The 25,809-nt window shown below is 48.6% G+C and overlaps 1 protein-coding gene across 3 annotated transcripts in view, besides 2 other annotated features; it reads left to right on the forward strand.

Annotated features, from left to right (window-relative positions):
* Positions 1 to 4,688: 4,688 nt before the first annotated feature.
* SPSB4 (splA/ryanodine receptor domain and SOCS box containing 4) overlaps positions 4,689 to 25,809 on the forward strand; it is a 97,265-nt gene continuing 76,144 nt past the window's right edge. For all 3 annotated transcript variants that reach the window (XR_924215.4, NM_080862.3, XM_017007509.3), the window contains exons 1-2: positions 4,689 to 5,334; positions 19,294 to 20,140. Coding sequence is in view for 2 of the 3 variants with exons in the window: in NM_080862.3 (NP_543138.1) it covers positions 19,447 to 20,140 (694 nt within the window). In the remaining variant the exon portion in view is untranslated. The remainder of the gene's footprint in view (positions 5,335 to 19,293; positions 20,141 to 25,809) is intronic.
* Positions 23,726 to 24,269: an enhancer, noted in NCBI's record as "OCT4-NANOG-H3K27ac hESC enhancer chr3:140789226-140789769 (GRCh37/hg19 assembly coordinates)". NCBI's record gives its function as "activates a minimal SCP1, AML or CMV promoter by ChIP-STARR-seq in naive H9 embryonic stem cells {active_cell/tissue: H9 hESC(naive)}" and the evidence as "EXISTENCE:reporter gene assay evidence [ECO:0000049][PMID:30033119]".
* Positions 24,270 to 24,812: an enhancer, noted in NCBI's record as "OCT4-NANOG-H3K27ac-H3K4me1 hESC enhancer chr3:140789770-140790312 (GRCh37/hg19 assembly coordinates)". NCBI's record gives its function as "activates a minimal SCP1, AML or CMV promoter by ChIP-STARR-seq in naive and primed H9 embryonic stem cells {active_cell/tissue: H9 hESC(naive and primed)}" and the evidence as "EXISTENCE:reporter gene assay evidence [ECO:0000049][PMID:30033119]".

Genomic DNA, 25,809 nt, shown 5'->3' on the forward strand with positions numbered 1-25,809 from the left:
CCCAGCACTTTGGGAGGCTGAGATGGGTGGATCACGAGGTCAGGAGTTCAAGACCAGCCTGGCCAAAATGGTGAAACTCCATCTCTACTAAAAACACAAAAAATTAGCCAGGCATGGTGGCAGGAGCCTGTAATTCCAGCTACTCGGGAGACTGAGGCAGAGAATTGCTTGAACCTGGGAGGTGGAGGTTGCAGTGAGCTGAGATGGTGCCACTGCACTCCAGCCTGGGTGACAGAGCAAGACTCCATCTAAAAAAAAAATCAGGATAGTGTTTTTGTGTGAAGGAGAGGCAAAAAGATGGGCTAGGAAAGGAGCACCCGGGAAGATGTAGGTGTTGGAAATGTTCTAGGTCTTGGGTTCAATAGTGGGTTCATGTGTGTTCATCATGTTATGAATAAATACATGAATTAATAAGTCCCATACTTGGGCTAATGTTGACAATGTGTCATGATCAAGGATTATGATTAATTCAATTCTGATCATTCAATACCTAAATGGAAGACAGAAATAGAGAGGGAGAGAGAGAAGCCAATGGAGCTGGCCTTTCTTCCTTTTTTCCTCCCTCCCTTCCTCCCTGCCTGCCTGTCTTTCTTTTCTTTTCCTTTACCTTTAATTATTCCACAAACATCTACTGTTTGTCGACTGTATACCATGCCCCAGGCTGAGAACTAGGAACACTGGGATGAATCAGACACAGTCCTGCCCTACAGAGTCACCATGTGATGCAAGAGTCTGACAATTCCCCAAATGTTTTCAAGGTGCTATGACAGATGTAAAGCAACAAGGTGTGGTAGGGCTTACAGAAGGGGCCCTTAATCCAGCCTGGGCTATTTGGGAAGACTGTGGAGCTTTCTGCTTTGAGAAATTAGCAAGAAGAAAATGTGGTTGGGGGTGTAACAGCTATAAAAATGAAAAAGACAGCCTTGCCCTTGAAGTGCTCATATCTTGGGGTGAGGGACAAGAAAGGAGGTCACAACAGTGGGACTTGGGGTTGTGAGAGAGGCAAGCACAGGCTTGAGATGCACATAGGAGGGCACCGTGCTGTGCCTGCAGTGTTGGGAAGGCTTCCTGGAGGAGATGACATGTATACAAGCAGAGAGACGAAGTATGAATTAGAGTTACCTGGAAAGTCTGTACCAGGAAGAAAGGTAAGCACCTACAATGGCCTGTGGCAGGGAGAAAGAGCATGGAGGAGCTCAGGGGGCCCCAGTGTGGCCTGGCCCAGAGCGCAAATGAGAGGAGGTGAAACTAGATGAGTAGGCAGGGAGCCAGATTCCATGAAAAAGCATGAAAATTATGCTGTGGACCATGGGGTACCTCTGAAGGGAGTGGCAAGGGTGATTTTTCCTTCATGAAGAGAGCCCAGCAGTAGAGGTGAGGGGGCCGCTATAACTGCTAGGGAAAGAGATGGTGATGCTTGGGCTGTAAAGAGGAACAGAATTTGAGAGCTGAGCACCTGATGGACAATGCTGCATGGCAGGCTGGGCTCAAACAGGGTTGCTCCTGAGGGGTGGGCAGAGGACATTCAAACCTCACACAACACAGTTCTGTCTTGCCACAGACCTCCTTGGAGCAAGCTGCAAGCTCCAAAATTTCTCAGAACTGAAAGTTTTTCCTCCAACTTCTGTAAAACCATGGTTAATACTTTTACAAGACAGAGAAGGAGTCCGAGATTTCAATAGCTAAAAACTGGGAAGTAGACCGAATACCATTCCTTGTGGGAGCAAAGGCAGGAGGAGTGAGGTTCAGAGCTTTGCTTTATCCAAGGGGTTCTGGACCCCTGACTGCAGCAGCTCCCTACTGGACCTTCTGCCCCAGGCATTACTTTGCCTTAGTCCAAGAATCCCACGAATGCTACAGATCTTGGTCTACTCCTGAGAAGTAGAAGGAAAAAGATTTATTGTGCACCGACTACACGACAAGCTACAACCCACAACTGTACTCTAGGGACATTCTTCTGTTCCTGTTTAGAAATGAGAAAGCTAGGACCCAAAGGCTTGGAATTGAGATTTAAGCCCAGAGCTGTCTGACTATGCCCATGCAATACTGTACATTCTTTAGAGCAATACTGTGGCTAGTTTTTCACGGTTGCATTTTTAGACTCACTCTTGGACAGTTAAGAACATCTTGCATTAGTTACCTACTGCTGAATAACAAATTACTCCAACATTTAGCTGATTAAAACAACAAACATTTATTATCTTACAGTTTCCATGCATCAGAAATCTAAGCACAGGTAGTTGGTTTCGGTGATTCACGATCTCTCATGAGGTTGCAGTCAAGGCATCACACAGGGCTGTATTGTCCTATGAAGGGCTCAGCTCGGCGGGGCAGAGATCTGCTCCCAAGTTCACTCATGTGGTTATCGGTAGGTCTCAGTCACTCACCATATGGGCCTCTCTCCACAGTGCCACTGCAGGATATAGCAGCTGGCTTCTCCAGAGAGGTGATCCCAAAAGAGAGCAAGAGTGTATGCTCAAAACAGAAGCCACAGTCTTCTTATAACCTAATATTGGAAGGAACATCCCATTACCTCTGCTGTATTCTGTTAGTGAGAAGCAAGTCAGTAAGTCTAGCCCACACTTTAAGGGAAAGGGTTTACACAAGGGAGTATATACCAGGAGTCAGGGATCACTGGGGGCCATTTAGAAGCTGCTGATCTCAATCTAAAGAATTTTAGTAGCCAGGCTATCCTGGCTTCTCCCCAAATGGCAAGTTGTTTCCCTTGTTATCCAGAGGCTGGAGGATTTGGGGGTCTACAGGGACACAAGGGGGCCCTGTTTTGGCCCACTCCTTTGTGCCTGGGGCATAATCTCATTGGGAAAGGCCAGTGTGGTGAACCTAACTGGAGCCCCCAAGGGAGGGGGGGAGTTGTTTTCTCAAATTGTGGCCACTGCTCCCTCCCTCCCTTATCCTTGAAGCTACTGTGATGCTTCCCAGCACCGAGTGGAAGCAACGGGCATCCTCCACACACACACCCAGCCTGTCAGCCAGATGGGTAGAGAAACCATCAGCATGAACGTCTGCTTTAAACTTTCCTTTGCTTCTGAGCTTCTTTCCACAAATTTTCTTTTCTTGCTCCCCAACCACATCCATAACCCCCACAGTAGCTCACAGTAGAGGTGCTCCAGGAGCTTGTCAATAGGAGGTAGGAAGGAAAGACACCAAGTGTGAATGTAGGTCAGCACTGCCACTTAGGGCAGTTCAAATCACATTCACTGTCCTCAGCATCTATCCTATGCTGGTGCAGGGCATCCAGAGATGTGTGAGGTACCTATACTTGCCCTCCAGGGGGGGCTCACAGTTTTAGGAGGGGCAGACATGCAAACAGACAGTGATGAAACGTTAGAATAAGTACAATAAATACGTGTCAATACACACTTTTGTCACCTCATCATGGTTATCTTGGTTCATAAAGCATCATCTTATGCTTAGACTATTACAGTAGCTGCCAACCTGGTTTCCTCCATCCATCCATCCAGTTGGCTGCTAAGAGGTCTTTCTGGAATGCAAATCCGACAAGGTCACTACCCTGGTTAAAGGCCTCCCAAAGTGATGGGGAAGGTCAAGCTCTTGATACAGTCTCCACCCAAGACCCTAGACACCGTCCATCCCTCCAGTTCCGTCATACCCCCTCTGCTCATAGCACAGGCTCTGTGCTGTGATAGGTAGCTCTCCAGGTGACCATGTTGTACCCCTGCCTCCAGGAGCTAATTCATGTAGACACATTTACTAGGAAACATTCCCAGTTGCCCTTTCCAGTCTGACAAATTCGCCCCAGAACCTCTCTCAAAACGTTTCCTTCATAGAGTTGGATTGTCTTTACTTGTTTTCCATGTCCTTGATGAAATGCGCACTCTGCATCTAGACTCTGTCTGCATCTAGACTCTGTCTGCATCTAGACTCTGCCTGGTACCTGGCACAGAGAGGGATTGGGTTAGCAAATGACTGCGTAATGGACCTAAAGTCAATTCTGGGAGCACAGACGAGGGCCACCAAACCAAGAACTTTCAATTTCCCCAAGGAAGCGCAGATACCAGAAGCACCCTCGAGGCTTCTGTTTTGGCCACGCCCTTTACCCCATCGCTCAGTTCAGGCTCCCAATGAGGCGGCCCACCATCAGCGCTGGTAGAGCAAAGAGACCGACTTCCTGCGCCTCGGGTGGGCGGGGAACGCTCCTTGAGCAGGTGCGGTATGAAATTGGACTTTAAGAGATGAGTTGGAGCCTGATCTCAAAAATAAAGTGTGGACGTGTGTGTCTGAGGAAGGGGGATAATAAACCACCCTTTTTTCCTCCTGGCTGCTATTTCCCACGTGCGTTGAGTAAAGGCACCAAAGCTGCCTAGTGACTGGGTGTCTCCTCCCCGTCAGGGGCACCCACCCTGGCGCTCCAGGAGCGCTTGAATGAATCCGGGAGGACCCGCGCGCAGGAATGAATGCGAGAGCTAGGGAGTGAGCGGGCGAGTGGGCGGGTGAGTGAATGGCGACCGCGCCGCCGCCTTGGCACAGGGGCGCGGGCGCGGGCTCCACTTCCCTCTCCCGCCAGCTGGTGGCCTCGAGAAGGTGGCGGCGCCGGCAGCGGCCCGAGCTGGGACGGCCGGGGCGCGGGATGGTGGGGGAAGGGGCGTTCCCGGCGACCGCGCCTTCCGCGGCTATTGGATTAGTGGCCTTCAGGGATGAGCTCAGCCAGATCGGCTTTCAGCTGCAGCCTCCGGGCCGGCCGGGAAGGCGGGGAGCGGGCGGCGGCGGCGGAGGAGGGGGAGGCGGCGGCGGCTGCAGCATCCAGAGCTGGCCGTGGCGGCCGGCGCGCCCCGCGCACAAAAGCACCCAGCCCCAGGGGAGGGCGATGAACACACCACATCCCGGGCCCGGGCCCCAGCTGCTGCTACCGCTGCGTGCGCTCAGGGCGCTGGGGAAGACGCCCGGCGCGCCGGGGGCCAGCGGCCGAGGCGCGGCCCGTGCGCCCTGAGCGCGGGACTCGTCGCCCTCCGGGTCAGGCGCCAAGCTTCCAAGCGGCTAGAGCGCGGGCCTTGGAGCGCCCCCAGGATCGCTTCAGTAAGGCGCTTCCCCACTCCAGGCCCGACCCCCGGCGCCTGAGCGCCAACTTCGCCAAGAACGCTCCTAACTCCAGGCCATCCTGCAGCGCAGAGGGGGCGCTGCTGCCGGGCATCAGCCGTGAGGACGCGCCCCTGGCCGTGCGGAGAGAGCCGGCATTTGCGGGTCACTCGGGCGCCCCTGAGTGGGCGGCGGCGGCAGCAGACCCCTCTCCAGGGAGTCCAGGACCTGCCAGCGCTGGGGATTCTTCCCGAACAGGCGCTTGCCCTCTCTTTTATGGTAAGTACTCTCCAGCTCCTGGTGAGGGGCGCGCGGGGGCCGGGAGCCGAGATCCGGCTGCACGGACTTTGTGCGGGCCAGCACTCGACACAGCTGGCGCTCCTGACGTCCCAGTCCCTGAGAATTCCTCTCTGCAGGTTGTGGCAGTTCGAGATGGTTGATTTGCGCGCAGCCCTGGGGCGTTTGGGGCCCGGCCTTTGGTATCATGGGTTCTAAGCCCTTTGCTTCTCTGCGTAGCGGACAACGCACAAAAAACTGCCATCCGATTCACCCGCTTTGGTTTGGATCCAGGATCCGTCACTCACTGGCTGAGTGACCTTGGACAGGGCGCCAAACCTGTTTCCTCATCCGTAGGATGGGAATGATAATTGTGCACATTTTATAGGGGTATTGGAAAGATCTATGGGATGGTGTTCGTAGGTAGACATGTGCTGGGCACACAGGAAACACTCAATCATATGTTAGCTAGTATTATTATTAGCTTTGCGAGCCCAAGCTTGTTATCCAACTTTCCGAAGCTGCAGCAGTTCCGTCGTCCGTGTAATGGGGACAATAATTCCTGGGGGTCTGTTCGTCCGGGGTATTCGGAGAGGTGGAAGTAAAGCACGGGTCACGCAATAGGCACCGGTGGCTGTTGTTACCGTTTATTCCTGACTCTGGGGCAGTGAGGCTGGTCGCCTGGCCCGAGAGCGACTCAGGGACCAGTCCTGGCCTTGCTTGAATACAAACTTGTCTATGCTCGGGAAGGGAGGGGGTTGGGAGCTCAGGAAACCCTAGGCGCAGGGCTCTGGGAAGGAGGGAGGGGGTCAGAGACTTGAGCGCGGCAAATGTGTCCGCCCTGGTCGCTCTGTACGCGCCAGGGGCTCCAAGCCAGAAGGGGACGCCGAGCCCCCGACCTCTGACTGGCGGGAGAACCGGGGGAGTGGCTGCTCCCGCCGGCCCATGGCCAAGCGCAGACGGCTGCCGGCAGGAAGGAGAGGAGGGCACTTTTCTGTACCGCTGTCGCGAGAAGGTGGAGAGTTCTCAGTTCTGGAGTCAGGCTTGGGTTCGAATCTGTCTCCACCACCAGCTCGCGGTGTGACCTTGGGCAAGTTCTCTAACCTCCCCCCGCTTGGTTTCCTCTTCTGCGCCCCACTCTCCTCCTTGGGGGGTTGGGGGATGAAGATAGGAGTTCCTTTCTCTCAGACTCTGAGCCCTCTATCCTCCCACCCCCTTTCTGGCCCCCTGCCCCCCACCCGCGCAATTTGATGAGCTTAAGTCTGGAAGACGTAAAATGTGTAAAAGCATGATATAAACATCCTTTACCCAAGGGCATATTCCTCTGAGACACATACCCTCTAATTTATTCCATTTTTAAAAATGGTAATGAAAAGAATTTAAGCCACCTTTGGCAAATCACAAACAAAATTCAACTTACTGGACCTTCTACCCAAATATCTCTCCAGTTTGTATTTCTCGTTTATTTTAAAGATATATTTAATGATATAAAAATAAAATCTGCAAGGAAAAGAAATCACCAGAAACAGTCAAAAGATATATGACAAACTGTCACATATGACATATACCACTCCTATCACAACAGGCTCATCTCTTTAAATATGTAAGAGATTCCTGAGGTCAACAAACAAAAGATCAAATGGGCAAAGACACGATTCATACATGCGAAATAAAATAGAAATGATACCAAAACATATGACAAGATACCTTACCTCAATACGAAAAATGCAAGTTAAAATTACAAGATTTTTTTTTAATGTATCAAATTAGCAAGTAGTCATAACCATTTATCAGAAGCATCTTTTAAAAATGTAGATCACATTTCTCCCTAGCTCAGGACCTCCTTAAGGCTGCCACAGAGTAAAATCTAGATGATCCCAGGGGTCCTCAGGTCTGGTACTGCCCTTCTCCACCTCTTCCTCACCATTTTCCTCTCCCCCACTACCCACCCTCCTAGCCTTCTTCCTTTTACTCCAACACTCCAAAGGCTCATTCACTTGCTGTTCCCCTGCCTAGAATACTTTTCCTCCTAGTTTTTCATACAACTGAAACTTCCTCATCATTTACGTAGAACTGTCCTTGGAAGGGCTTCATTTCTATCCCAGAAAGTGGCCAAGCCACAGTGGCCAGTGCAGAATTCCTTGCCCTTTTGGGGAAAGACCTAGTACAACTCACCATACAGGAGTTACTTAATTTCCCCTGAGCTGCCCGACCTGTTGTCACACATCCATGCTCTAGAAAGGTTTTTTCTCTGTTGATACAGGAGTGAAGGGTCTTGGGCATGAAAATCAGGGGAGTGGCAGGCCGTAGATGGAGGTCACCAGAAGTCTCTGCCTATATATGTACTATATAAGTACATAGTATGTACTCTTGATTTATGTGAACATGACCATCTGTGGTAAGAAAAGATCAACTATAAAAAATTTTTAAACCAGCAACACGTTTTTAATAAAACATGGTTCCTACATAAGCCAACTAATTTATTTGCTGCTGATCAGTTCAAGAAATAGGGATTTGTTTTGAGGCTATAGGAAAAACAGTTGTGGGTGGTGTGCCCTTTGGGAAAGAGGTGGTATACCTCAAACCAGTTATCATGAACTTTGTGTGGAACTTTAGAAGAACTTTCCTAAGCAGTGTTGATTGCATGTGATTTTTGCTTCACACATTGAGTTCAGAACTTACTCCATTTAAAATGTATACGTGTGGTGGTTCATGCCCGTAATCCCAGCACTTTGGGAGGCCGAGGCGGGGGGATCGCAAGGTCAGGAGATCGAGACTATCCTGGCTAACACAGTGAAACCCCGTCTCTACTAAAAATACAAAAAATTAGCCCGGCGTGGCGGCTTGCGCCTGTAGTCCCAGCTGCTGGGGAGGCTGAGGCAGGAGAATGGCATGAACCTGGGACGCAGAGCTTGCAGTGAGCCGAGATGGCACCACTGCACTCCAGCCTGGGCAACAGAGCGAGACTCCGTCTCAAAAAAAAAAAAAAAATGCAAACCATGCAGGAGGTATAGAGTGGCTAGTCCTTCTTCAGTCTGACAAGCACGTCTTAATGCAGCCAGAGGTAACAGGTACAAGGCTGTGTACGAGTATTGGAGATAAAGGCTGGTTGGGCACTGGCTCCATTAAGAAATGCAGATGTGGTGCAAGAGATAGCAGCAGGAATCAACAGCTAAGATGAAGACAAAGTGGGTTGGAGGGCAGAGGGTGCAGTGGGACGTAGGCAAGAGGACATAATGGGGCGGAGGGAAGAGGATGTAGTGGGCTGAGGGGCTGCCACGGAGGGGTGCCCAGTTCTGCTTCTGCTAGAAGGGGCAGGGGAGTGAGAGAATGTCAGCCAGGTCAGAGAAGATGGGAAGAGTCCCAGGATGTGCTGACGAGGAGAGTCTGGCATGACTGGTCTGAGGTGGGCCGTGATGACAGACAGTGTGGAAGAAATAAGAGCAGCCTGGAGGGCCCCTGGGTGCCAAGCAAAGAGGTGCAGCTTCTCTCTGGAGAAGCTGCCTGGAGGGTTGAATGAAGAGATTGGTGGGTGTCTTGGTCCAACTTACCTGTTGGCAGCATGGAGAGTGGGTTGGCGGGCAAACAGTGGAGTCAGGGAAGCCTGCTAAGAGACCAGTGGAGTAATCCAGGCAAGTTCTGAACTAGGGGAAAGCTGACGGGGTTGAGTGGTGGGGACCAAGAGACGGGATCCATGGCAGGAACAGTGACATGCAGAGGAACCTGGCATGTGAGAGAGGGAAGAGGCCAGGCTCAGCCTAGGACCTGCAGATTCCGAGGTGCACATGGACCACAGATGTCCCGCAGGGCTGAGAGTGTGGGTGTGCCCATGGTAGGAGGCTTATGATGGAAAGAGGTCAGCTGGCCTTACAAGGTCATTTGAAACAACACCCAGGCAGGGCTGACCAGGGGCTTCTAGTAGGTAGGTCTTGTGCTGAGGAGAGAAGGCAGCACTGGAGACCCGGCTTGAGAGTGTCTGCACGGGGCTGGAGATGCAGGTCATAAGAGAAGATGCATGGAGAGAGAGAGTGAAAAGCGGAAACTGAAGTTGAAGCAATGGACTTGGGGGTGCCCCATTGATGGGGTAGGCAGGAAGACATTGGAGCCAGGAGGAGGCAGGAAAGCTGCTGTGGTAAGCTCTACACTTCAATGTGCTGGTATGTGTGGTGGGAGACGCTGGAGCAGTGCCAAAGTCATCCATCTGACCTTTAATGTTGTGAAATGTCATGTATGGTGAACTGGAGCTCTGCTTTCTCCAGAAGTGAGTGGGCCTTGGCCCGGTTTACTGGCCACAGAGACATTCTACCTGTTATCTACCTTCAGGAGACATCTACCTGTTATCTGCATTCTATGAAATGTGCAAGTTGTACAGATTCCTGGGGCTGGAGCAGCTCCCTCCCCGATCCTGCTCCCTTTCTCCTCTCTTCCTCTCATCCTCTCTCCTTTCCTCCTTAGTATCTCAAAAATGCCCCCAGAGATACTGTAGGCTTAACAGAGGGATCTTCAGAAATCCCAGCAGGTCCCTATTATGACCTGGCTCAAGCCAGAGGCATGAATAGTTCTGCTTTTCTTTTAGGCATTCTGTTTCCAGACAACCAGTTATACCAAGTGGAGAAGGTTCATCTTGGGAGGTAAATGAGGGATTGGACGCAAACCTTATCATGTTTTCATCATCGTTTTCCCCAGAGGGCTTCATTAAATGGTACCCTTCCCATCTTCTCCCTTCATGCTTTGACCCAGCCCAGACATGCTGGGCCTCAGGGAATCCAGCTGCCCTGCAAACAACCTCCACATGTGCCTGGGGCAGGCCTCTGGGCTCAGGGGCAGCTGTGGTGACCGGGCTGGCCCGGACTGCACGTGGCCTTGCTGTCTCAGTGGTATGTCTCTTTCAAATGACCTTGCAGAGCTTGCTGCCCTGGTCACAGCCTAGCAAACCTCCTTCATCCCATTTGCTGCTCTCCTTGCTGGCTGACAGCCCAGCTTGCACCTTGGGGGCCCCTGGCTCAGTCACGCGTGGGAGGATTCCCATGGAAACCCCAGGAGGAGGAGAGGCTCAGGGAAGCCTCATTGATTCTCGCTCCAGGAAAACAGGCGTGAGATGATTCCACCTGGAACTGGACAGATGGCTCTCTTTGTGAGCTCTTGGGGAAGAAAGGGCTTGCCCAGCCAGTTGTAGCCTGAGCTCCATGTGTGTATAGCAGGGAAAAGCTAATGAATGCCTATGAACAAAACCTTGGGGGTTCTTTAGTTCATTCATTGTTGGTGGGTTCATTCTGAATGAGCATCTTTAATAAAACAGCCTCCCTACTTAATATTTGCACAAGAAAAATCTTAAAAACATTCCAGTTAAACTAAGGTCAGGCACCTATCATTGGTACCTTTGCACAGAGTCAAAAATTGAAAAATAAAGACATGAAATAAATAGTCTGAGCTCACAGTGCTCTGCATTCCCAGTTCATTCTTAAGTGTTGGTTCTTTCTAAGGCAGTGTATTGCTTTTCTTCATTTGTTCGTGCTCGTGCATTCCATAGACGTTCACCCACCACTTTCTCTAAGCCAGGTCCATGGGGACTCTGATGAGGGACACCCGGCCCCTGCTCCCAAGTTGCCCCAGTCCGATGGGAGGGAGGCAGCCAAAGAGACATCATGTCCCCTTGTGATAAGAGCTGTGGTGGGCACAAGTACAAGGGCTCTGAGAGCACAGGGGGCTGGGGAGCTCCCCAGAGGCACTAATATCTAATATCCTGAAAGCCTCAGAGAACCTGTCGAGGATTTTGAGCAGGAGCGTGATTAGATCAACTGTGTACTTTTACAAGTGCAGTAGTATATATTTGAAAGTAATATGCAGTCTATAAAGGAATTCCAGTGGTATCTAACTGGATTTCTTTTTACAGTCTTTGTCATTATTCAGATCTCTCGTGGAGTCTGACCCCTTTGGTGTAGGCTGTCTCCCTAAGGGAAAGTGGTTGAGTCTTATGCTTTTCAGCAGCCTGAGATCCCCAGGGCAGGCATCATTACTGCTGGCTAGATGAAAGAAGGAGACTTGCCCCCACCTCTGGCTCCAGCAAGTCCAAAGCCAGAGGCCACACAGAGAGAAGGGCATTTCACGCAGTCACTACCAATCCCCACAGCAGTCATGTCTTCTTGCAGACCCCGTGCCTATTGAGCTCAGCTAGACAGGCCTCTGTGGCTGTGATTTTGGGTCCCAGGCCTCTGAAGACTGTGCATCATATTTTTCAAACTAATGAGGTTCCTTAAACAGTGTGGCATTGCCACTTCATGTCTCCTCATTTCCCTGTCGGGTAGGAACATCTGCTAGGGTCCTGGGAAAGGCAATTAGCAAATTAGAGTTTTTGTTTTCTTGCTCAGCCATGATTGAAGCCCCAGAGCAGATCCTTCTGGATAATGTCATTAAGCATCCCCATCCAAGCATGACGTAGGAAATTAAGTTTGGTTTTGGGGAAAAGTGACGGAGGCATCCTTTGGCGTTCTTCAGGATGCTGGCTGCTTACTGGGTTGAGAGATGATGGTATTCCTGTCAGGAAGATGGATCCTGTTGTATGTCCCATGTGCCTGGCCCAGTGCTGCATGCTGTAGTGGAGATGAGGAGAGGAGAAATGTGCTAAGTGCCCACTCCCTCTGGCTGGAGAGAGAAGGCAGGGATGAGCCCGACTTGGCCACTGCTGTGTCCCTTGCTCTCAGCTGCACAGTGCCTGGCACTGTGTTCACTAAGCATTTTTTGAACGAATAAATGAGGGTTGGAAGCAGGGAAGGATGCAAAGCAGTAGCTAATAAAGGAGTAGACTGGATACAGCCAAGAGTCAGCTGCTCAGGAGTGAGAGTCCAACTATGATAGTGGCATTACTGGGCTTCATGTCCCCATATCCTGACTTTAGCCCTGGCCCTTTCTCTGCTTCATCCTCTGAAAAACAGCAGAGCATGAGCCCTCCCTGAAGCCCAGCACAACCTCTCCACAGTCCATATGTGTGTTCTGCCCCATGTTCAAAGTACCAGGCTTGTGTCTTGCATGGAGGGAGTAGTGCAGTGGCTGGGGGCACAGAAGTGCTGGTGAAAGTTTCCTGCCATCAGAGGAATGCCCTCAAGGTAGAAAAAAGCAGATCAGTAAGGCCTGAAAGATGTCCCCCTGGCTGGCTCAAGGGTGGACAGAGGTACAGGGCAGGCCCCAGGAGGCCTACTGGATCAGGGCAGGCTTCCTAGAGGAGGTGGAGCTCACCCTCATGGACTAATTATCTCTCAAAGGCTCCACCTCCAAATACTATCACACTGGGGCTTTGTGTTAGGCCATTTTTGCATTGCTATAAAGAAATACCTAAGACTGAGTAATTTATAATGAAAAGAAGTTTAGTTGGCTCACGGTTCTGCAGGCTTTACAGGAAGCACGGTGCTGGCATCTGCTTGGCTTCTAGAGAGGCCTCAGGAAGCTTACAGTCATGGCAGAAGGTGAAGGAGGAGAAGGCATGTCACATGGTGAAAACAAGAGCAAGAGGCGGGGGTGGGGAGGTGTCACACACTTTTAAATGAGCAGATATCTCTCCAGAACTCAGTCACTATCCCTAAGACAGCACCAAGCCATGACAGACTCACCCCCATGACCCAGACAGCTCCCACCAGGCCTCACCTCCAGCACTGAGGATTACAACTCAACATGAGATTTGAGCAGGGACAAATATCCAACCTATATTAGGCTTCAACATGTGAATTTGGGGAGGACACAATCAGTTCATAGCCAGGCACATTCAAGTGGTGAAATGGCAATGTTGGAACACATCCACAATTTAAAAGAGCACTCACCACTTACTGGAAGCCCTGTGATGTGCCAGACTTTACAGGTGTCTGCTCTGATACTTGCAAAAGCAGGTGAGGTTAGCACATAGTTAGCAGCACTTCCAACCAGTCTCAGAGAGATTAAGTTCTGGCCTAGGGTCCAACAGACAGGTGGGGATTCACATCTAGGTCTCCTGTCCTTCATTAGATTGCCCAGCTGCTAGTTTCCCTTAACGGCTTATCATTCATGGACATGAGCACTCTGCTGTGCGCCCTGTACTGGGGGAGCAGCAAAGGGGCTGTCTATTTACTTGCCCACCTTGTCACACCACAGTGTGAGCACTCTTCAGGATCTCTGCCTGCCTCTAGTAGGGACAGAGACTTTGAGACTATGATTGCAAAGGAGAGCACTGGGCCCTCAATGACCCAGTATGGGCCAAGCCAAGTACTAGTAAGAGGTCTTCCCTGGGGCTGCTGTTTGGCTGTTGCTTTCAAACATGTTTAAGTGTCTTTTCAGCAACAGCAACTCCACAGTTGGCATGGTTGTGTGCAAGGATAAAGCAGTTTCCCTTAGAAATTTTCTGTGTGGGCCACACAGAGCTGGTTACAGTCATTGCTGTGGAGAGGGCATTATTCTAAACAACATGGAGGAAGAAGTAAGAGCACAGGCTTGTCATATGGTAACTCTGGGGTTGATCCCAGTCCTGCCACTTCCTGGCTGTGTGACCCCAGGTTATGCAAGTTATGCAACCTCTCTGAGCCCGGGCTGCTATTGCAAAGAGTGCTGCGTATGTATGCAGTATGTATGCATGTGCTGTGTACATAGGTAGTTTTGTGCATTTGAGAACATATCTGAATAAATGCTGGAAGTAGAATTGCTAGGTCAAAGGGTCTGTATATTTGCAATTCTGAAAGATGGTGTTAATTTGCCATTTGCCGAGGCTAAACCAGTTTATATCCACTTTAGCAATGTATGAGTCTGTCTTCTGTTCCACACATTCTCCAAGCATGCGTTATCCATTTTTTTGACCTTTAATAAGCTGATAGACAAAAATGGCATTTCAATGGAGTTCTAACTCATTTCTTTTTCAGTATACATTGAGTATCTTTTCAAAGGAACCATTTGTTTTTGTGTAAACTGTTGATATCTTTTCATATTTTGTACTTGTATTCATTTGTAGGAGTTTGACATATATTTGTTGGTAATTTGTGTTGCAAATTTTTTCTTATGTTAAAACAAGTCTAACTTCTTTTACAAGTGCTTTCAGCTACACCGTTTTGTTATTTCCCATTTTCATTTCTTGTTTTACATATTTCTGTCTTCTCCCCCATTAAATGATTATATGGTTTATGTTTTATGTGTTTTTAAAAATTTAGTTACTTATGCATTTAAAGTATATTTAGTGATATGTGAAAATGCAAATTACATAATTTTTAGGTGAAATAATCTAAATAAAGGCCCATTATACCAATTTTTAAAAAGAAAATTCATTATAATTTATAGACCAAAAAAAAAGAGAGAATAAAGCAAAATTCCTCCAAAAGCTGACAATGTTTATATCTGGTTAATGAGATAGGAGAAAGAGGTGAATTCTAGTTTTTGTCCTTTTTTTGTATTCTCTAAAATTTAGACATTTATTTAACCTTTTCTAATTAATGAGCTTTATTTCTTCAGAATAGTTTTAGATTTAAAGAAAAACTAAACAGATAGTACAGAGAGGTCCCATATGCTCACTCCATTTATCACCCTAGTTTCCCCAATTATTAGCATCTTACATTAGTATGGCACATTTATCACAACTAATGAACCAGTATTGATACATTATTATTAACTTATTTTAATAATTAATATTAATAATTGTTATTAACATATTTTTTCAGATTTCCTTTTTTTCTCAGATTTCAGTTTTTACCTAATATCCTTTTTCTTCTCTTTCTTTCTTTTTCTTTCCTTTTCTTTCTTTCTTTTTTTTTTTTTTTGAGATGGAGTCTCCCTCTGTCACCCAAGCTGGAGTGCAGTGGCACGATCTTGGCTTACTGCAACCTCCACCTCCTGGGTTAAAGCAGTCCTCCCACCTCAGCCTCCAAAGTAGCTGGGACTACAGGCGTGTGCCGCCACACCTGGCTAATTTTATTTTTTTAGTAGAGACAGCATTTCACCATGTTGGCCAGGCTAGTCTTGAACTCTTGACCTCAAATGATCCACCTGCCTTGGCCTCCCAAAGTTCTGGGATTACAGGTGTGAGCCACCAAGCCCAGCCCCTAATATCCTTTTTCTGTTCCAGATCCCATCCAGGATACCACATTATGTGGAATTGTTAGGTCTCCTTAGGGCCCTCTTCACTATGATGGTTTCTCAGACTTTGGTTCCGATGACCTTGCCGGTTAGGTCAGGTATTTTGTGGGATGGCCTCCAGATGGAATTTGTCCTTTGTTTTTCTCATGATTAGAGTGAGGTTATGGGTTTTGGGGAAGACACCCAAAGGAAGATTTCATTATATCATATCAAGGGTACACACTATCAACATGATAGATTAATATAATAGTAATATAATAATATAACATAATATAATATGATACATTACATGATTAGCTTTAATAGTTTATATGTTTTATTGATTTTGTTTTGTTTTTGTGGTAGTTTTTCCCAAAGAACCATCTCTTTAGTTTTTGCTTAGTTCTATTATTTCCCTATTTTATTATGCTCCATTCATTTTTTAAAATTTAATAGCATAAATATATCAGCCATGATTTCCTCTGAGAACTGCTGTAGAGGCACCCCGCAGGTTCTAGTATGTGGAATGCTTTTTGTTATTGTTGTATTCCAGATATTCTGCAATTTCTATATGGATTTCTTTTTTGATCTGAGTTGGGGTCAAGTTGTTTAAAGAATTTTTTAAAATGCCTAAGTGATAGGATTTTGTGATCTATAATTTTGTGATTAATTTCTAGTTTTCCTTCTGTGTTATCAGATACTGTATTATTTTTGCTTTTTTTGAAGTTTTGTTTGTGACCTAATATACAGGAAAATTTTTTTGATCATTCCATGAACACTTGAAAAGAACATGCATTCTTTGTTTTCAAGGTATAGAATTTGATGAACACATTAGTTAGATCTGTCTTATTAATTATGTAATTTGGTTTTTCTATGTCTTTACTTAATTTTGGTCCACTGGTCCATCATGAGCTAGAAGAGGGAAATTAAAATTACATGCCTCTGATGTGTGTCTGTCTAAGGCCCCTCCTTATATTTCCTCTAGCTTTTGCTCTGAATTTTGGTGCTATTTGGTGAGTTCGGTCTTCAATTGTGGATCGCATTCTTTATTATTATTAAGTATTCTTGTCTCACTTAAAACCTTTTGTCCTGAAATCAACTTTACTTGCCTAATATTAAGATTACAGTGCCTGCTTAGTTTGAGTTCACACTTCCCTGTTATGTGTTTGCCCTTCCTTTATTTTCAAAATTGTTAAATCACTTTGCTTTGGGGAATGTCTCTTATATGTAGCATATGGTTGGGGGTTTTGTGTTTTTCCCCAGTCTTATAATCTTTTTTTAGCAGTTTACTATGGCCATTTAATGACATGGTCAATATTTCGGTCTTAGTTTTACTATCATATTTCATGCTTTTATGCCTTTTTGCCTCTCTTGCTTTCTAACAAAATCTTTCAGTATATGATCTGTTTTATTTTGTATTATGTTCAAGGTTTGTATCTGCAAGATGTGTATTTTTATTTTTAGTTCTGGAGGTTACCTTTATAACTAGCCAAAATGGATTTAATCTTTTGTTGAGACCATGCTAGGTGTCTCCCTTCTGAAATAATCAATCACAAAATTAGTTTACAAATTTGGTTCCCATTTTTATCTGCTTTGTGGCAGCTTTTTTCAGGTGAGTTTGCTTGGTTTGCCATGTTTTGTCCTGTTCGTTTATTCCTTTCTTTCTTCTATAGCATCTTTGACTATATCCTGTGCTGGTTCCTCTTTGAAAGAGGTAAACCTTCTTGGATCAGCATTTTGCAGGAGACACATGTGGAGGAGGTACCAAGAAGAGGGCAGGATTGCTCCCTGGTTCCCAGGAACTTTGTTCACAGGGTTGTTGTAGTGACTTCCTTTAGTCTTTGCTTCTACTCTGTCAGCAGAGTTCTGCAGCTGTGGGCTTCTCCCAATTCAGAGCCCTCCTCTCACTCTGCCTTGCCAACACACTGCTTCCTGTGAAGATGGCGGGTCTGTGGTTTCCTCTGTTGGCCCTGCCCTCCTCTTCCCCCAGGGTGTAGGAGGCAGCTCCCACTACCAGACCACATGCCCTGTTCCCATTTTTTCTGATAAGGGATCATTAGTTTTTTCCTTCAGGGAATGCCAGCTCCTGGCTGGCTCTGCCAGCTTTGTCTGAGATCTGCCACCACAGGTGTCTTCTCTAGGTGTTTTCTCACAGTATTTTTGATCTTCACTGCTTTTGGTAGCCCTTACCTGTTTTGGGCAGCCTTTCCTTATAAGCTGTGTTTCAGGTTATAAATGTGTTCTAGTTTGCTGAAGAAGGAGTTTGCATTTCTTTTTTTCTCCTGGATTTTGGGTGATTTCGGATATGAAAAGGAGTAACTTTATTCTGCTATCTTAAAACTGCCTAGTGTTGCAAATTGTTATGTGTTCTGGTATTCCCTCAGATTGAACATTAGCCAGAGCTCTCGGAATAGGGTCAACATCTGCTGAAGCTGGGATCTGACAATAGAGAGGGAAGAGTATGAGAGTTAAGAATAAAATGGAATGGTGAAAAACCCACAGGATACTTGTCTGTGCTGTGTGGCAGCAGAGTTCTTTTCGTCCCTACCTGGACTTTGGCTAGGGGTGTACCACTGTCTGGGTGGGAGGTTGAGGCTGGGGAGGGCAGGGCATGAAAAACACCCATCCATCTCCTCATCTGGCTCAGGAGAAGTTGTTCTAGGCCCAGCAGCTCTCAGGCCAGGGAGGGGAGGGCACACGCCTCTGCTCTGGACAGGGCTTGGCTCTCCATCTCTCTCCATACCCAGGGCCCGTCCAAGTAGTCCGAGCTCCTTGGGTTCTGTCTGGTTTCCTAGTGATGGTGGCCAATTCCTTCTCCATGAAAACCAGGATCCTGTCTCAGGGAAGGCAGTCTGGGGTCAGTGCTGTTAATGGTATTTACCTGATCGAACAAAGAGCTCACCCATCCAAAGGGAGGGGATCCACATGGGATGCCCAGAGAACAGAGCCAGAGAGGAAAACCTGTCGGCAGAGTTCCAGGACCCTTTATATTATGGTCTCTCAAGTTCCCCCATCACCAGAGGGAGGTGTTTTATCCTCATGTTTTTTACTGGCAAGAAATCTGGAGTATCCAAGAGGCTAGGAGGCTTTCCTGTGGACCCACAGTAGGAGATGGAGAGAGGGATTTGGACGCAGTTCTGTCTGGCTCCAGAGCCTGGACACCGGCTCCCTTATCCTTCCTCCTCACCTCTATTGACCTCCATTCACCTTCCCATGGAGCTCTCACCCCATCTTCCCACGCTGCCTGATGTCCATGTCCCTGGTGACCCTGCTGCACCTTGTTCTGTGTCTTGCCGCTCAAGCCTGGCTACATTTTAGGAGGTTATTTAGGCTCCCCAGGACTCCAGGGTTGGGAACCAATGGGCCACACCCTACAGCCCTGTGTCTTGAGCAGCTGTGTGCCCCCCAGCCTTGGCACAAGGCTTGTCCCCTGGGATCAAAAGCACCTGGGTTCTCATCCAGGCTCTGACCTTGAGCAAGTCACAACTGCTCTGGGCTCACGCCTTATTTCTAAAATCAGACTCCCTATGATTGTTCTAGGTCCGGAACACAGACCCTGAAGCCAGATGACCTTGGTTTGAATCTTGGCTCAGTCACTTATTTGCAGTGGGACTTCGGCTAATCGCTTATCCTCTCTCTGACTTCAGTGTTCTCATCTGTAAATTGTGAATAATAATGTATATCTCTTATAGGGAGATGTTAAGGATTAAACAAACTAATAAACATAAATAATTTAGAACACTGGCATATGGCAGGTGCTAGATTAGTGCCAGATATGAGTGTACGAATTATTACTATTATTGTGCATGCAAAGGGCTCAGCCAAGGCATGGACATAAATGAAGGGATTGGCAACTGGCTGCTGATGCTGCTGCTATAACCCGTGCCCTTTGCTTCCTTCCAGGAGCTTGGGCCCCTGCCGCAGCCCGGTAGAGGCTGTGGAGGTCTACCGTCCGGAAGCCTGGTTCCCAGCCCCGTGGCCCATTCCTGGCTACGGGGAGTGGAGGCTCCCACGAGGTAGCGGTGGCCTGCAGCGGCCTCCTCCCCGCAGTGAAGCATGGGCCAGAAGCTCTCGGGGAGCCTCAAGTCAGTGGAGGTGCGAGAGCCGGCGCTGCGGCCGGCCAAGCGGGAGCTGCGGGGTGCAGAGCCCGGGCGGCCGGCGCGGCTGGACCAGCTGTTGGACATGCCAGCGGCGGGGCTGGCTGTGCAGCTGCGGCACGCGTGGAACCCCGAGGACCGCTCGCTCAACGTCTTCGTCAAGGACGACGACCGGCTCACCTTCCACCGGCACCCCGTGGCCCAGAGCACCGACGGCATCCGCGGCAAGGTGGGCCACGCCCGCGGCCTGCACGCCTGGCAGATCAACTGGCCGGCTCGGCAGCGCGGCACCCACGCTGTAGTTGGTGTGGCCACGGCCCGTGCTCCCCTGCACTCCGTGGGCTACACGGCGCTGGTAGGCAGTGACGCCGAGTCGTGGGGCTGGGACCTGGGCCGCAGCCGCCTCTACCACGACGGCAAGAACCAGCCCGGCGTGGCCTACCCGGCCTTTCTGGGGCCCGACGAGGCCTTTGCGCTGCCCGACTCGCTGCTCGTGGTGCTGGACATGGATGAGGGCACACTCAGCTTCATCGTGGATGGCCAGTACCTGGGCGTGGCCTTCCGAGGTCTCAAGGGCAAGAAGCTGTACCCGGTGGTGAGTGCCGTGTGGGGCCACTGTGAAGTCACCATGCGCTACATCAACGGCCTTGACCGTAAGTTGTGCTGGGCTGGGGGGCAGGGCTTTCAGAGGCTGCCAGGCCCTAGGGAAGCTGGGCAGGCCACACCTCCATCGCCACTTGGGAGGATCCTGCAATGTGGAGGAATGGTCAGGACCTGGGTTTCAATCCTGACTCTCTGCTGGCTTGGTGATTTGGGGCTGTGCCTTAGTTCTCCCATCGGCAAAAGCATCACGATGATAGTAATCTAGCTCACAGTTGTAACGATCAAATAAAGTAATAGTAATCTAGCTCACAGTTGTGAAGATCTAGATAACATGTGTGAAGTGCTCAGAACAGTGACTGGCACCCAACAGGGGCTTTGAGTGTTGATGCCAATTACCAATCTTCCAGTCTGTACAAAGGTTGTACCAAATGACCCAAGCTAGTCACAATGGGAAGACAGTGACAAGTCCCCAGTCCCTGCACTTAAATGCCATGTACTCAAGTTATTGATAAGTAATAAGTACTGATAACCGTCCTTTATTGGCCATCTACTGTATTTGAGAGGCTGAACACCCCAATTCCAGCGCTTATGGGCCAACTATTAAAGGGGACAGCTGCCTCTTATCTCCAGCCGACTGTCATCTCACGGGAATGAAAACCCTGGGTTGTGGAATCTTGTGACTTTTTCCAAGAGAGCCCAGAAATCTAGCTTGTGTGAACTGTTCCAATTTTTAAAGTTGACAGCTGCTGAAAAGTCTATATGGGCAAACAAAATACCCTTGCAGGCTACAAACCAGCCCACAAGCTGCTGGGGTTGACCCCTGACAACTCTATGGCTTCCTCTCATTTAATATACACAACCATCCGGCAAGATAAAAAGTGTAGGAACAAAGACGGTTATTGGTTTTGGGAGGGAGTCACTCAGGGAGACAGGGTGGCCTCTGGACAGAGGCACACGTGGCTGCCTGTCCTGAGTTGAATCCCAGCTGAGGGGCCAGGAGCCAGGCACTTGTGGGCTTGCACACTCCCCAACATCAGCCCACTAGCACCAATCCAGACTTCCTGCCACACCCCAATGAAGCTCTCAGAGGTGGCGCTGAAAGCTAGAATTTCCAGTTTATTCATTCTAAATAAGAGATGTAATTACCAGCCCCTGAGGCAGATCCTCCTTTTAGAAATAAGAAAACTTAAGAGCAGAGCTACAGAGAGCCAGAATCAGGGTTCCCCCCAGTTCTGATGGCCCTGAAGTCCACTCGTTTCCTATGTTCTCCCCTTTAGATGAGGGACTGAGAGTAACACTCCAGAAAAGAGTAACACTTCTCCAGAAAAGAAGTCAAGGACAAGATTTTACTCAAGCAAAATTTACATTTACTGGAGCACAGGAAGGGGACATTTGATGGTTTCCAAGGGTGGCAGGCTAATGGAAAAGTGGCTGCTGGTATGCTCAGCACTCTGGCATAATTGTCGACATTCTTGCTCATATTTTATTTCCGTGGTTGTTGCCTACAATTGCCATTGAATGGCAAAATGTTGTTCCATTTTCTCTGTTTAATGGGTTAAATCTAGGAACTGATGATTATGTCCCTGAGAAGGGCTAATTTAGTCATCACAGTGCCTTGTGGAAAGTGTCTGGAGCCTTCTGAGACATAGTGACCAGGCAAATCCCAGTGGTGAGAAAACCAACAGAAACAACAAACAATCTTTATTTAATGGAATTGGAAAATTTATTTGCTGGAATTAATCACTGGACTAGAAGAGTGGCCTTGGTGTACCAAGGCTCTGGAGTCTGATGTGACTTATTTCCAAGTGCTCAGTGGTTTTGTGTCTTTGGTGAGTCACTCTTACTCCTTAAGACTCACTTTATTCATCTGCAAAATGGGATAGTATCAGGTCCCCTTTTTGCTGCTGTAAGCTCTTGTGTGGTAGCACCAATAATATGGTAGCTGAGATTTAAGGCCTGACGTTGACACCCAGTGGGAGCTACCAGAGCCAAGAGTTACACTCCTGTTGTAGGCTTCCTCTTGGCTATTAATTCACTTGGGCTTTATTGGTTGCCTGGTTTTCAGGTGCAAAGCCAAGATGCTAACAGGGTTGCAGCCTGTGGGGCCATGCATATTGGAATCAGGAGCAGGGACCTACCTCATGGAGATTGGGTGAGGAAAGGCAGTTATGTTTGGGGTATTTTAAGCTTGTGGGTCCTTCAGGTGGTTGAACAAGTTTGGTGGAACTAAAATGTGAAGTGTTCTAACCTCCTCCTTACTGGCAGTGATTTTTCAGGTTGGCTGAATCTGGAATACTGAATCTAGGAGGCAAGAGAGGCCAGATGTCATGGGATGCAGGCCTGGGGCATCTTCCATTCAGTGATAGGGTTGGCTTATCTGCTATAGCACTAGCCTGTTCTCTAGGTAGGGGTAATGTTCTGTATCTCAGACAGGGGTGTGACTGCAGAAAAGGGAAGCTCAGCTTCTCTGGGCTTGAAAGGCCTATTCATGGCCAGCCTGGGACAATCTCTGACTCCAGAGTGGGCCATAGGAGAAGCTGCAGTGGAGTCTCGCAGGGATAGTTGGGAAGGGACTGTGTGATGCCTATAGCCTGTGTCCTGGGCTGAAGTCCACCATGAATCCCTGGGTTTGGGACTAGTTTGGCTCTAGGGAGTCTCTGAGCAGGGAAGGTGACCCAAGGTGGATTCTGTGCATGGAAAGGATTCTGAGTTAATGTCGGTTGTGGACATGGTGGCAGGTCCCCAAACTCAGACTTGATTGGTGTGTGAGGGACCAGAGTCAAAGACATCCTTGGAAGCAAAAGGCAGGCCAACTCTCTGGGGTTACTTCCCCACAGGATCATAGGAGGAGAGAACTCTGCCCGGGGCACCTCACAGAGCCGGGTCAGACCCTGGCCCCAGCACTCAACAAATGGCTGTTGGCGATTGCCTCCTCTTTCTGAACTTCAGTGTTCTCCTTTGAAAAAGGATGAGGATGATAAAGCTCACCGGCACAGAGCAGACACATAGCAATTGGTGCCCCTGTGTTGATTAACTAGGTGAACTGAGGCAAATTCTGGGGTTCACCTGTGGCTTAAAGCAAAATGGCCTTAATAGAGGCTTTTCCTCTAACATGATGAAAGTAAGGTAATGGATATCACTTTCTCAATTTTTGAATTTTTATTACGGTAAAAGCAAGACTTAGAAAGGGCTCACTACGTTTAACTCTGGAAGCATGTATTCACTGAGGGCACGAACTCCTGGAGGTGTGATTTCCTATTGCAAATGCATAACATTGTCAAACCTTCTGCAAGTGGAATTGTTTTGCTACACTGTGGAGTGAAATGGCTCAGCATCTCAAAGCTAACTACAAAGAGCTGCAGGACGCACAGGGGCCCTGCCATCTAAGTGAACTGAGAAGTATGGAGCCAAGGCCAGGCAAATGGAGAAGCTGTCCCAGGGGTTGTCCAGGGCACAAATAATAATAATAATAATAGCAACAATAGCAACAACTAATACTTATGTAGTGTTTAGTCTGAGTGGGTGAGGGGGGTGGTATTCTAAACACTTTACAATTTCTTTTTGTTGTTGTTGTTGTTTTTTGTTTGTTCATTTGTTTTCTAGAGACAGAATCTCACCCTGTCACCCAGGCTGGAGTGCGGTTGTGCAATCATTGCTCACTGTAACCTCTCACTCCTGGGCTCAAATGATCCTCCCCTCAGCCTCCTGAGTAGCTGGGGCTACAAGGATATGCCACCACTCCTGGCATATATATAAATATGAATGAAACTGGCTCAGGAGGTAATGGCTAATTTAAAAAAAAATTTTTTTTGTAGAGACAATGTCTCACTATGTTACCCAGGCTGGTCTTGAATTCCTGGCCTCAAGCAATCCTTCCACCTCTGCCTCCCAAAGCACTGGGATTACAGGCGTGAGACACGTCACCCGGCCATTTTGCAAATTTTAATTAATTTAATTTTTGTAATGACTCTTTGCACTAGTGCTATCTATATTATCATCTTCAGTGTATGATGAAGAAATTGAGGCACAGAGAGCTTGAGTAAGTTGCTGAAGGCGACACTACGAGTAACTGAGGGAGCCTGGATTCAAATGGAGGCAGACACGGGCACCTTGTGGAGACGTTTACCCTCAAGGCAGGGAGAGAATGCGCAGGAGCATCTGCTCCATCTGGCTGGTGACCGTGCAGCCCAGGGCCAGGTCCTTGCCTTCAGCAGTGAGTCTGGGCGAGTCTCTGAGATGCTGTCCCTGTCATTTTTCCTCCTCTGGCTGGCTTTACCTCCAGCCCTCAAAGCTCTTGGCTCAGCATGGAACTCTGCAGGGTGTTCTGAAATGCTAAGTTGTATAAAGGCATCCCCAGCAGTGGCCATGGATCAGGCATGCTTGATCACTAACAGGGGAATGTCACTGCAAATGTCTCGACTGCTGTGAGGTGTGGGCCCCTGCGGTGGGCCAGGCCTTTGGAATCTGCTCTGGGCTGCTTTCTGGAATTGCTCCGTGGCTCCCCAGCTCCTCTCTCCACATGCAGGCGGCAGGAGGGCTGACAGAACGGCTTTGTCTCACATCTCGGAGTTCTTGGGTGGTGAGTGGTATGTGAGTGACACAGGAATAAGAGGGGAGTATCAGACAGAGACAAGAGGCCTTGGGGTCCCTGGCAGCTTTGATTTGGGGGCATTGATGACACTTTTGTTGGCTCCCATCCATGTTCTGTGCCCTGGGCTTAGGATTTTACTCATTTTTTTTTTCTTTTCGTCGCAATAAGTCATGAGGCAATGTGGCTGTTATTATCCCCATTTTATAGATGAGGAAACTGTCTTGGGAAGGTAACGAATTTGCCCAAGGCCACACAGCTAGCAAATGACACAGCTGTGCTTATACCCAGCTCTGCCTCCTATGCCTGGGCCAACCTGCCCAAGCCTGCCCACCACTGAGCATGGCCTGACCCCACAGAACGGGCGCCAGTGTCAGGGCTGACTTTCACAGGGTGGAGCGTGGAAATACAGGTATCTTGGGCCTAACTGGCTGAGAGGGCTTTCCCCCTGCACGGAGCCGAGGAAGCTGTATTTCCAGACGTCTTTCCTAGATGGTTTAATTGATCTGCCAACAAGTATTTATTGGCTCAATGGCTGAGCAGAGGAGGCTGGCAGCTAGCCAAGGCTTCTGGTATTGATGAAGGCCAGAGAGAGTTTGCTCTCACGATGACTACAAGGACACTGTCTCCTTGCCAGAGCTGCACTCAAGACCTTCTCGCTAGACCCCCGTGCATCTCCCGGGGTAGTGAGGTCCTCCCAGCCTCCAGGACATCTGGACTTGGCCCCTCTGGGCCTGGTCGCCCCTTTGCCCCCATCCCTTATCAATCTGTCCTGACCCCAGCTCACCTCCAGGCCTCAGCCGAGGACTCTGGCTCTGCATGGGGAGTTTAGCACTGAGTTCTTCTGCATCTGCAGGGTTCACTCATTTTTCCACCCATAGGCCTTCTTTCCCCAAGTGGTTATGAAGTTCCTCAGGGCAGGGATGGAAACCCAGGAGGTATGCATGGTGAACTGGGAAGATTAGGGACATCATATGTGCCTATTTACTTGATATCGCTTGGATATTTGTTTCCTACAAATCTCGTGTTGAAATGAGATCCCCCAAGTTGGAGGTGGGGGTTGGTGGGAGGTGATTGGGCCGTGGCAGATACATCATGAATGGCTTGGTGCCCTCCTCGTGGTAATGAGTG

This window comes from Homo sapiens, chromosome 3 (genome assembly GCF_000001405.40).
Source record: "Homo sapiens chromosome 3, GRCh38.p14 Primary Assembly".
In the NCBI taxonomy this organism is placed as follows: Eukaryota; Metazoa; Chordata; class Mammalia; order Primates; family Hominidae; genus Homo; species Homo sapiens.